Source organism: Homo sapiens, chromosome 1 (assembly GCF_000001405.40).
Source record: "Homo sapiens chromosome 1, GRCh38.p14 Primary Assembly".
NCBI classification, from domain to species: domain Eukaryota; kingdom Metazoa; phylum Chordata; class Mammalia; order Primates; family Hominidae; genus Homo; species Homo sapiens.
Window position 1 is genome coordinate 100961182 of NC_000001.11, and position 13459 is coordinate 100974640.

General features: G+C 35.8%; 1 protein-coding gene across 4 annotated transcripts in view; it reads left to right on the plus strand.

The window, feature by feature from the left end:
• The window catches only part of SLC30A7 (solute carrier family 30 member 7), a 99989-nt gene that overhangs the window by 65092 nt on the left and 21438 nt on the right, over positions 1-13459 (plus strand). For all 4 annotated transcript variants that reach the window (XR_246237.4, XM_017000400.3, NM_133496.5 and 1 more), the window contains exons 9-10: positions 647-737; positions 4588-4737. Coding sequence is in view for 3 of the 4 variants with exons in the window: in XM_017000400.3 (XP_016855889.1) it covers positions 647-737; positions 4588-4737 (241 nt within the window). In the remaining variant the exon portion in view is untranslated. The remainder of the gene's footprint in view (positions 1-646; positions 738-4587; positions 4738-13459) is intronic.

A 13459-nucleotide genomic window follows, 5' to 3' on the forward strand; every position in this document is an offset into this window, starting at 1 on the left:
CGATATCCTGACCTTGTGATCCACCCGCCTTGGCTTCCCAAAGTGCTGGGATTACAGGCATGAGCCACCGCGCCCGGCCTGTTTTGTGTACATTTAATCATCCAAATAGCCTAAAGCAGTAGTTTCAAATACTAATTGAGGACTAGTTACATCAACACATGCAGACTTTTGGGCACCATCCCTAGAGGAGCTGAGTTCATTTCACTGCATCTGTGGTTATCGCCAGGCTTCTATATTTTTTAAGTAATGAAATATGACTGATATTGGACAAATAGGCTGATGTATTCATTTTTTTGTATTTTCCTTATCAGTGCTACTATGATTACTTTGGAAGGTTCTGACCACGTGGAGTCATATTTTAACTAACAGTTGAAAATGTGCTGGGTTTAGATGATATGATATTATTTCAGTTTTATAGCTTTACTCTTTCATACATTAATACATTTTCTCTAGCTCTTTTATTTTTACTTCAGATAATTTACTGATCACGTGGAAAATCTAAAACAATGACTGGTTGATTGTTTTTTCTCATATTATTCCCGTAAGTCCTATTATATTCTACCGTAGGGAGGCATATTATTACTTTCTTGCTGGATGGGATTAGCAGAATGTGACTTTAATAAATTGTTGTCTTCCTTTTCCTTAGTGTTATTCCTCTTTTAAGAGAATCTGTTGGAATATTAATGCAGAGAACTCCTCCCCTATTAGAAAATAGTCTGCCTCAGTGCTATCAGAGGGTGAGTTTCAAATACTCCAAACCATTGGATTTTATGCTGTTTTCAATCTCTTGATTTTCAGCTTTCACAAATATGGGTAACATGTGTGTATAATTGACTGTTTCTTCCAAGATTGAATGCTGACCATGAAATGTCATTTATACAAACCAGAATAAAATTGTCGGAAAATATTGAACTTTACTAAAGAAAATGTGGTAGAAATTGTTCTGATCTAGAAATTGAGCAGTTTTTAAAAATATAGAATATCTATAGCAGAGATATTCATTCAACATAGAGTTTTTGAGCTCCCACTCTACCAGATACTCTTCTAAAGTACTGGGGAGGTGATGGTAAACAAGACAGACAGTGCCTCTGTTTCATGGGACTTACAGTCCAGTGGGGAAATACAGTAACTAAACAGTAAGTAGATAAATAAGAAAATATCAATGAGAATATAGTAGAAATAAAACAAAGTGATGTGATAGTCATGGATGGCTACCTTAGATTCACTAAGGAAGTTATATTCAAGGAAATTGAAACCTTGAAGACAAGAAAGAGCTAGCCATATGAAAATACTGGAGAAGAATGTTCCAGGCAAGGGAAATTGCTAATGTAAAAGTGCTATGGCTGGATTTAATTTGTGTTTGAAGAACAGAATAAAAAAGGCCATTGTGGCTGGAGCATATTAAATAAAGGGAAGAATGGCTTGAAAGCCTGGAGAGAATGGCAGGAGCAAGATCACTTAGGGTTTTGGGTCATAGATTTAGATTTAATTCTAACTCAGTGGGAAGCATTGGAAAGCTTTTAGGCAATAGAAGTGTCATAAATCCTATGTTTTTAAGAGATTATTGTGTTTTCTATGAAGAGAACATATTCTAGCGAGGATGAAAGCAAAGAAAACCAGTTATGAAGTTATTGTCCTCTAAATGAAAAACAATGGTGGTTTAGATTACAGTTGTAACGGTGAAGATAAATATTCTTCTTCACATTTGGGATATGTTTTTGGGAGTGGATTATATTAGCAGAGGGGAGAGAAAGTGTTGGCTTATTACTTGGTAGATGGTAATGCCACTTACTGAGACTGAGGCCTTGTTGGTACAGGTTTGAGGATGGAAAATCTCCCCAAATGAAGAGTTCTATTCTGGATATGTTAAAATGGAAATGGCTACTATACTTCTAGGAGAAATGTTACTTAAGTAGTTGGATATGAAAATCTTGAGTTTTGGGTACAGATTAGGACCAGAAAGAGTTATAAGTCATCAATATATGAATAACATCTAAAACATCAAGATTGTATTTATTACCTCCGGAGAAGTTCTAGTTCTACTCTTTTAGCTCTGCTTTCAACTCTAAATTTGGAGCATAGGTGAGAAAGCCAGGAAAGGTAGTGGTTAGTGGTGTGCTGGAAAACCAGAAGAGTGTAGGATCACAGAGTTGAAGAAGGAGGAAGTAATTAACTGTGTTGAATATTTCTGTGGGGTCAAGGAGGGTAAAAACAAGAAGTGATCATTGACTGGCATTCTGGATGCCATTACTGACCTTGTTAAGAGCAATTTCATTGGAGTGTTGGAGAGGGGAGCATGATTTGAGTGGATTAAGGAGAAAATGAATGGAGAAGTGACAACTCCTTTAAGAAGTGTTGTTAAAGGGGGCAGAGAAATGAGTTGATAGCGGATATGGATGTACTATCAGGAAAGAGGGTATTTTTTGTTTTTAAAGTAGGATGTTTAGAACAGCATTATCCCGCAGAACTTTCCCCAATAATGGAAATGTTCTATGATCTGCACTGTCCAATATGGAAGCCACAAACCACATGTGGCTAGTGTAACTGATTCTTTTTAACTTAATTTCCATTCATTTAAATAGTCACATATGTCTAGTGACTTTTGAATTGCACAGCATAGTTCTAGAACATGTGCATTAACTGATGGTAACAGTCTGAGAGGAAGAAATTGTTATAGTACTAAAGGACATTATTAAAGGAATGACATCATGAGTAGATGAGAAAGGCTAGAACCCAAAGCACAATGGAAGGATTAACTGTTGATAGTAGCAGGGGTACTAGATCCTCTGAGGGAATGCAGAAATGCTGACATAGATGAGAGGTCACTGGTAGATTTAATGGTAAAGGATAAGGGATTTTCTTTTTACTTCTGTTTTCTCTATAATGTACCAGGCAGTGTAATCATGCAGAGAGATCAGAAGGCTAGAGGAAAAAGGAGAAGGTATAAAATAATCTTTTGATACAGGGAAATTACATATTGCCCATTCAAGATTTGTGGTTATTATTTTAAGGTAGCATCAATCAGCATAATTGTTACTAATTGTTTTATATATATATATGTATATGTATATATACACAATATATGTTATATAACCTATAACATATATGTTATATAACTTATGTAACCTATATATGTTATATACATGTATGTATATATGTTATATATACATATACATATGTATATGTATATATAACATATGTTATATAACCTATATATGTGTATGTATATATATAGAGAGAGGGAGAGTTTCTCTTCTTCACAATAAACTACAGGGTGAGTATCGTCTTCCTTTCCCTAGGTAAAATTGAGGCTCACCTTAGGTCCAAATGCTAGCGGCTGAATCAGGATTCTAATCCACGTCACTCTGACTCTAAAGGTCATCTTCTTTCTACTGTATCACACTGCCCTTTTCATCTGTAACTACACTGTCCTCCCATTTTTTAATTTGTAAAATTAAGCCAGTTTCTACAGGAATTATTCTTTACTTTGTGTTTTAAGATAACTGCAGTCATGTACTTGTACTGCCACATATGGAAGTAGGAGAAATCTTTTCAACCAGGTTATTTCATTAACAGTGGAGCTCAGCTTAAGGCCTCATCCATGAGGATGCCATGTAGAAAGAGTGGAGGGATATCTGGCTAAAACAGCTATGTTGTCAGAGTCCAAAAAGAGGAAGAAAAAGTACACCTTGATCTTTTTCCCCAATAAAAGCAGTTTTTAAAGAAGGCACGGTAGATACTATCTCAGTTTCCTATCAACTGTCTTGGAGTTTATAGAAAATAATGACTACATTCATCAAATTCTGACAAAACATAAATATTTTTGATAGATATAAGATCAACATTTTCTTAACTTCCCAGGTAGATTATGTAAAAATCAGAATCTCAGAACTGAAAAAGATCTTATTGTGCATTTGGCCCAGCCTTCTGTCTGTTGCAAAATCTCCTCTATGCCATCAAGTTGGTATTACAGCTTCTTGACCATTTCTGGAGATAGGTAGTTAACACCCTCACAGAGAAGCTCCCTCTTTCTTTGTAAACTGCTGTAATTGTTATAAAGATCTTTTCACATTGAGCTTTTTTCTTTTAACTTTTGGTTGTTGATCTTATTTCAGCTCCTCCAGATCAATATGGGGATGCAGAACAATAGCAGTGATTTGGGTATCTGTCTTTTTCCTGATCTTCAGGGAATACATCTAATGTTTCATCCGTATTTTCTGTACATTTTTGGTAGTTAGCCTATATTAAGTTAAGGAAGTGTCCTTCTAATAGTTTTTTTCCAAGTCATAAATAAGTGTTGGACTTTATAAAGTGATTGTTACTGTAAATTTCCCTGTGGGGCACACTCTCAGGTGTGTCCTACAAATTTTGATACATGTTTGTTTATATTTCCCAAATACTTGTCATGGCACCTGGCACATAATTAGTACTCAAGAGTATTTATTTATTTATTTATTCAAACATCCTCCTTTCCTTTTTTTAAAATGGACGATAGAATCCATGTTTACTGATATGTTGCATAATAACTTAAGTAAAAGGGAGTGCTTAACTTGATTATGATGTTAATATCTCTCCTTTATATTTCAGGTACAGCAGTTGCAAGGAGTTTACAGTTTACAGGAACAGCACTTCTGGACTTTATGTTCTGACGTTTATGTTGGGACCTTGAAATTAATAGTAGCACCTGATGCTGATGCTAGGTGGATTTTAAGCCAAACACATAATATTTTTACTCAGGTATGTCTTTTTTACTAACTTCTTTTAAGGGCCTTAACATTTTTTATAACTAGTAGTTTTAAAAATATTTACAAGGCCAATGTGAGAGGATGGCTTGAGGCTAGGATTTCTAGATCAGTGTGGGCAACATAGTGAGACCCCGTCTCTACAAAACATAAAATCAGCTGGGCATGGTGACATGCGCCTATAGTCCCAGCTGCTTGGGAGGCTGAGGCAGGAGGGTTGCTGGAGCCCAAGAGTTTGAGGCTGCAGTGGGTTATGATCCAGTTGCACTCCAGCCTGGGCCACAGAGCAAGACCCTGTCTCAAAAAAAAAAAATTGCCATTTAACATAATAAATATATATACTACTGAACTATAAGGTAAGCATAAAACCACATTTTTGGCTGGGTGCGGTGGCTCACACCTGTAATCCCAGTGCTTTGGGAGGCTGAGTCAGGTGGATCACGAGGTCAGGAGATCAAGACCATCCTGGCTAATACAGTGAGACCCCGTCTCTCTACTAAAAATAGAAAAAATTAGCCGGGTGTGGTGACAGGCGACTGTGGTTCCAGCTACTTGGGAGGCTGAGGCAGGAGAATGGCATGAACCCAGGAGGCGGAGCTTGCAGTGAGCCAAGATCACGGCCACTGCACTCCAGCCTGGGCGACAGAGCAAGACTCGGTCTCAAAGAAAAAAGAAAACCACATTTTTTTTTTTCCGAACACAGACAGAGTCAAGTTTGGGAAATACCTGTTTTAGTTAATATTCTTCAGGAATAGAAAGATAGTTCCTATATGCTCATCATTGTACTTATTTGAGTTCCTTCAAGAAAAAGTATATTATCCTTTACTGCACATTTCTTATAAGATATGTTAGGTACTATTTGAAGCCAAGAATTCTAAAACAGTGTTTGGAATAAGAATAAGTGGCTTTAGCTAAAAGCAGACTGTTAACTTTTTTGTGTGACAGCAAAACTATGGTCACCTACTGAGTGATTTAATACCTTTATATGCTGTTGAGTTTTTCTTAATAGTGCATTTGGAATCATGAATTAGTCAGTGCATGGTCTACAACCAAGTTATTTCAGTTAAGGCTCATGCCATCATGAGTTAACATAGCTATGTAACTGACTATTAAAGACTGATTACTATGGTATGTATTGTGTATATATTGGGAGAATAAGAAGGTCATGTCAGTAACATCTAAGAAAGAGGCAGAGAGAATATAAATTCTGTTCTCAGTCTAGTTTGTTGGAAACATTTGGCAAAAAACCCTAGACATTGATACCACTGTCAGAATCATCTAACACAGCAGTCCCCAACCATTTTGGCACCAGGGACCGGCTTTGTGGAAGACAGTTTTTCCGTGAACAGGGGTTGGAGGTGGTGGTGGGAGGGATGGTTTTGGGATGAAACTGTTCCACCTCAGATCATTAGGTATTAGATTCTCATAAAGAGCACACAGCCTAGATCCCTCACATGTGCAGTTCCTATGAGAATCTAATGCCACAGTTCACCCGCCACTCACCGCTGTGAGTGGCCTTGTTCCTAACAGACCATGGACCAGTACTGGCCCGTGGCCCAGGGGTTAGGGACCCCTGATCTAACACATAGATCTAATGAAGAAACAGGTTCCATGTGTTAAAAATCTGTGGTTGAAACTGACATTATATTCCTCCTGATTTGATACCATGGGGAATACAGAACATGACCTATGTGGTACTCCTACCAAAAACGTTTCACTTGAATCTAACCATGAGCAAACATCCAGACAAGTACAGCTTGTGAGAGCCTCCACAAGGCTGTTAACTTGGATTCTTTTAAAAAGTGTCAATGTCATGAAAGGAGAAAAAGGTAGGGGATAATTCTAGATTAGAGGAAACTTCACAATTAAATGCAATGTGTGGTACTTGATTGAATCTTGGACTGGGGAAAAAAAGCAACCACAAAGGAAAGTATTGGATAATCAAAGAAATTTGATTATGGACTGTAGTAGTTCATTTAATTGTATGGGTGGTTAAATTTCTTGGATGTGATAATGGTATTGTGGTATAGAAGACTGTTCTTAATTCTTAGGAGATTCATGTTGAAGGATTTAATGGCAAAGTATCCAGATGTTTAATTTTCAAATGTTTTGGCAAAAATAAAAAAAATTACATATAAATACATATGTAGAGAGATGAAGCAAACATGGTAAAATATTAACAATTGGTAAATATAGCTGAAGGGTTCACAGGTATTTATTGTACTATTATTTTGACTTCAAATTTTTTCAAAATAGGCCAGGCATGGTGGCTCACACCTGTAATCCCAGTGCTTTGGGAAGCCAAGGCAGGCAGATCACCTGAGGTCAGGAGTTTAAGATCAGCCTCACCAACATGGTGAAACCCCATCTCTACTAAAAATACAAAAATTAGCTGGGTATGGTGGTGCATGCCTGTAATCCCAGTCACTCGGGAGGTTGAGGCAGGAGAATCGCTTGAACCCAGGAGGCAGAGGTTGCAGTGAGCTGAGAGCATGCCATTGCACCCCAGCCTGGGTGACAGAGTGAGACTCTGTCTCAAAAAAAAAAAAAAATGTTTTTTTCCAAAGTAAAAAGTTGAAAAATAAAAACCTTGGTGGCGCCTCATTGCCATCCAGGTAAAGCCCAGACTTTTTAGCATGAACCAACAGACTTTTAAAGTCTGTCTCCTGCTTTTCATTGCCACGTACTTTATACTCCAAACCCACCAGACTGTTTACTTTTCTGTGAGGGACAAAAATCCTACTCTAACTAAAATATCCAATGCAATTGTTACTTTCTCTCTGAAGCCTTAAGTGTCCCACAAAGCAGAATTACTTTATCCTATGTCATACATATCACATTGTACAACTTGTGTGCAAGTTCCTACCAGCTGTCATGATTTTGCATTCCCAGTGCTTAGAAGATGTATATGTGTATAATGAATTTGTTATATAAACAGATTTTAAAAACTGTATTTGATTAAAGCCATCTTTATATATGCTAAGTATGGAAAAATATCGTTGGGTTCCCATTGGTCTTTTTTAACCACAAGCTCAAAAAGATCTTAATGAGATCTAAAATCTGTCTTTCTGATAAAGAGAAATGTGTCATTAGGTCCCTTTGGGAGTAAATTAATGAAATAATCTTACGTATAATTAGGATTTACTCCAGTGCTAATCTTATGTGTAATCAAGACATACACTACTACAAACAATATGCTGGTACCACTTATTTATTTCAGAATTTTAACAACCAGGTGTCTTTCTTAACAGACACTGTAAGTCTATATCATGACATTCATAATGAAGCATGCAAGACCTTCACAATGTGTCTGAATCCTTCTTACACCTTCTACATGTTTCAGGGACAACAAGATAACCAGGCTAGCAGTAATGTTTCTTTTCACTGACATTTCCAGATTATTTTTCCCTCCTTTACCTTGAATTTTCTCCTAGATATGCAATGTCCTTTTACCCTTATAGTGTGAGCTTCTGTTGAATTCTAGGACACTCCATATTCTCCTAAGACTTTGGCATTTACTCACAATTTGCCCTCTGAAAAGGAATGCAATTTCTAGTTTTAGAAATGTGCAAGCAGCTGTGTCCGGGCTTAGGAACTCTTGAAGTTTTCATTCAAGTAAGTGGAAGGAGGTTCTTCCGGTAACTTTAGAAATTTTGGCTTTTAAAATGGCTGAAATTGAAAGTTTATTCAGCTGCTTCTTTGGTTTTGGAAACTGCATTTGAGCTTTGAATATTTTAAGCCCTGAAAAAATATTTTAAGCCTTTTTATCACCTAAGGTCAAGTCTACTTTATTTCATTCCTTGCAGAGACCAGGGATTCTTTGAGACTTGCAGTGAAGGTGGCTCAACACATTTTTCCTAGGGGAGAGGGGAGTCACCCTACTAATGACTTTCATTCCTACATTTAATGATTTTAAAATTGTTTTGTGATCACTGCTTTAGTTCTGACTTATGCAGATTGAAATTTTCATGAATTTATTTTCCTTTTCTGCATATACCCTAGTAATGCATGGTCCTTATGCAATTAGTATATGCCAAGGCTTGCAGGAGCATTTTTATTTTATGAAATGAAATTTAAATTTAAAAAAAATTTTGATCTTAAATTACATCTTATAAATTTTACTTATCAAAAATAAGAAAACTCAAATTGCTCCCTTTTCGATCACATAGATGCTTCAGGTGTATTTCTTACAGACAGATTCAAAATACTGGTGGCCTTAGTTCCAAAATACCAAAAGAAGGATTTTTTTCAATAATAAGTTATAGCTTTTGATTTATTACATTTTTAGGTATCTTTCTTATAGCCAGTCTTAAATTACAATGTAAGTGATAGTTTTTGGTTAAAAATTGTTTTGTTAAAACTTTTATGAGGATAACTTTAAACTGAGAAGACCAATATCTAAAAGTTGGAGAATTATAACTTTCTATTTGGTTAATAAAACTATAGTTTTGTGACTATATCTTAGGCAATATCCTTTTTAATTTCATTTTCCAGAGTTACCAATTAATCTTTAACTGCTAAAGAAGTTGGCTTGCTGTACGTGAATATAAACTAATGCAAGTGGATTGCTAAAAGCCACTTCAGTACTCAGATTGCTTTGGGATTAAGTGACAATACAGTTTTTAAAGTACCAGGTTTTCTGTTGACATACAAAAAGTCTTCTCCCTCTTTTTCCCCTTGCACTAATTTTTTTTTTAATGAGTTATCATTTGGGAATTGATAAAATGGAGAGTTTACCTTTTGTGTTTAGTGTACAAACAGCAAAAAAAAAAAAATGGGATACTAGATTAGGAAGGCAATTAACATCTTATGTTTTAAATTGGCCAATAGTATTTGTTAATTTTTTTAAATAGCACACTTCACAATCATAACTGTAATCCTAAAAATTTTAATATACCTTTTTTGTTAGAAATAATGTTTGAAGAAAACATGTTAAAGAAACATGTAGAAATATGTTTGAAGAAAAGTCTATAATACGCTTGGGGTTTATTACCATTATCAGTTCCACAAAACACAAAAGATGGTCTCTCCTAATACATATTTACTCCTTGATAGAACTTCTACCTTTATTTCTTCCATCTTTTCTACTCTTTTGCCTTTCTCACTTGTGCCTGATAAGTCCTAAGCCCCCAACTTCCTGCTTCAGCTTTTTGTGCTCTATTCTCTGTCCTCAAAATAGAAGTTAACACTGATACTCAGGAAGAAACCAAAAAGCCTCCTCACAAGCCCAAGTAAGAGTGCTCCAAGTTTCAGATACTTTCTGCCTCCGTAAACTCTCCTAGGATCATAATCCCTTCCTGTGGCTTTATCTAACTTTGCTCTGTCTTCTTGAGGGAGGGGGTACAGAGTAGGAGAAAGTGGATTACTATTTTTCCACCTTTCCTTTTTTTTTCTCTAAGCTTTTGGTCAAGGGCTTTAATGTTTCCTAAGTATTGATTTTGGTTGCCTGCTCTGCAGTTTTTCCTTATCCATCTTCCCATTATCTTTCTTCATCATTTGTATTTGAAGTCCGCCAGAATCTGACCTCCTTTGGAGGTTGGAGAGAACAACCACAGGTTGTGAGGCCAACAGATCCCTAGGTTTATTGTTTTTAAGTAATCCATATGATTTAAGTGTTCACTGGTTGATGAATAGTGGTGGAAATAATAACAGCACCAGCAGCTAGTATTTATTGAGAGCTCATCATGTGCCAAGTACTGTGATCAGTACCTAACATATTAAATGAGCCTCAAAAGACAATTTACAGACAAAAAAACCCACACTCAAGTTACTGTTATTGACTTGTAATTTAGTCACAGTTACTCATTATTTTGCTAACTCTGAAATGATTTAGGTTTCACAAGGAAGAGTAAGGCAGTTTTTCAAGACTTCATTTTAAAGGGATAAGGATGAATATATGTACAGTCGAAATAATTTTCTATAGTCATATTCCCGTTTATTTCCCTAAATTTTTTACTTCCGATTTGTTATCCTTTCTACAACAATAAATATGTATTGAAGATATTCTAAGCCTATAGCACCAGGTTAACATTTATTTTCTTAGGAGCATGAAAGTGTTCAAAATAGGTGCCTTTCCCATTTATAAAAATGTTGACTGGAGTATGGTTTGTACATTATTCTCAGGATATGCAGTGAGTACTATATGGTTTTCACATTTTAAGGACCTGTCAGCCAGCCTCTGGCTCCTGGTCCCATTCTAGGGGTAGAATTTATGATGGATCTGAGTAGTGTTTTCATCTGTTGGAGTGTCTGTCATGTCTTTGTGATGTGAATAAACTGTAGAAAACTTAGTTTGCATTCAGAGAGTAGGTGACTTACCATAGGATTCTTCCACTTTTCTCTTTACTTTAAAGGAAACTGGAAGAGGAAAATGAGAATCTGTAAAACTTGAAGCTGTCCTCATCGGGCCAGATGGATAAAGCAAAATGACTTTTTTTTCTTTTTTTTTTCTGTTAGACTGAGCTTTTGTGGAAAGCTGTAAGCCCTCAGGGGAAGGATATCAGCTTGAGTAATTAACTCATGATTATGCAAAGAAAATTTACCTAGCCTCTTTGTTTTTCCTTTCTTTGTTATTGCCTTGGGCTACTTCATTTTTTATTACCATCTTCTCTGTTTAGGGCTAGGAGTAAGGAAAATGACAGAGACAATAAAAAGAGCCCAAGTTTTGCCCATTTTGCTTTCACTAACAATGTTGTTGAAAAATAAAAGAAATTAAGACAATTTATTTGAACAATATTTGTTTCCTCTTATGGTTTGATATATAAGAATTTTTAAAGAGTTCCTAAGTACAGTCATTTCAGGTGTCATCTGGATAATGTCAGATCATATAATTGTAATCAATCTTAATAATTTGTTTGTAATAGCCTTTTATAAGTACCTGGTATATAGCAAGGATTTATTGAATATCTGTCAAATATTGGATGAATATGTAACAATTGTGTGAGATTAGTAGGGCTGGTGTTTATCAATGCTTTTAAAATGAGAAAAAATTAAGTTTGATTTTAATTTGTAACTCAAGAACATACAGATACTGAATTCTGTCTTTTTTTCTGCCACATCATCTTAACTGAGGAGAGGATGCTATTAAATATATTTTTCTTAAATTTGAATAACAGAGGCTTTAACTTTCCACAGGAAAAAAAAAAAGAAAAAAAAGGAGAAGCACCAGCAAAATTAAAATATATTTCTTTTGCTGACAAGCTTCTAGAGCCTGCAAGCCTTTTATCCATTCGAGTAGTTCCTGAATCCTTTCAAGCACTCAGTATTGTACAGAGCCCTCCTACCTGAATTCTAGAAAAAAAGCCAAGCTAGGAAACAGTGCTTTGAGGAGTCCAGAAATTACTGTAAGAAGGTAGTGCTAATAGATTTTTTCCTCACTCTGATTTTTTTCCTATTAAATATTCCAATTTACCTTTTATTCTGTGGTACTGAGAAGAAAGGGCTTATTGTGACTAATGGGTTCCTTTAATTAAAAATAGATCATTTTGGGTTGAAAGAAGGAAATTAGTAGAATTTTAGTTAATTCAACAAATACTTATTGATCACTTACTGTGTGCTGGCTCTCACTTGAGGTTCTAGGAGTCAGCAATGTAAAGAAGAAGACCAAATCCTTTATCTCGGAGACATTATATTATAGTGAGAGGTCAATAATAAACAATAAACACCGTGAATAAGTTGTATAATACATCGCAAGGTGATAAGTTTACTGGGAGTGCTGAGGTATTTACCAGCTCTTGTACCAAGCTTTATTTTTTTCTTTAGCCTTTGGCGATTTCAGTTTTCAGAGAGGAGGAAGAACTAGCAGAGAAGACTGAGAAAGACTGATAAGTGAGGTAAAAGGGCAGCCAGTGAATATTCTCTGGAAGCCAAAAGGGAAAATATATATATCTATAGGCAGGAGTGACCATCTGTATTATTGCTGATAGGTGAAGTAGGAAGAAGAGGCCTGAGAATTGGATATTAATGTAAGCAATGTGGAAGTGACCTGGACACAGTTTGGGGGAAGTGTTGGGAAGCAAAAGATTGGTTGAAATGAGTTCAAGAGAGAAGTGAGAAAAAGGATTTTAGACAGCAAATATGGATAACTCTTTTGAGGCTTTTTGCTGTAAAGAAGAGCGGAGATGGGGAGCCCAGAAGGGGATGTAGGGTTAAGTAAAGATTTTTGTTGCTTTTTGTTGTTGTTTTAAATAGCTTTAGGGGGTACAAGTGCAGTTTTGTTACTAGGATATATTGCGTAGTAGTGAAGTTTGGGCTTTTAGTGCAACTATCACCTGAATAGTGTACATTGTACCCAAAAGATAATTTCTCATGAGGTTTTTTCAAAGATAGAAACAGCTACAGTGTGTTTGTATGCTAATAGAAGTGATCTAGTTGAGAGGAAGTAAATTGATAATACAGAAGATATTGGGGAGAATTTAGAGAGCAGTATCCTTGAGTAGCAAGTTCATATCCAAAACAGAAGAGAGAACTTGGAGTGCAAAATAATTCCAATAGATGGTTATACTTGCTAAATTGTTTACTAATCATTTATCACAGGAGGATTTAGACAGGGTTGATGTATCAATTTCAACTAGGAGCCAACCAGTCAAGCATCATGGTGTCCTCTAACAGAGTAACTGTAGAAGGTGAACTGCATTTTTCTAAGTATCACCTGGATATCTGGATAGGGTGTGTGACTGTTAACATGGCTCTTTTTTTTTTGTTTGTTTTTTTGTAGT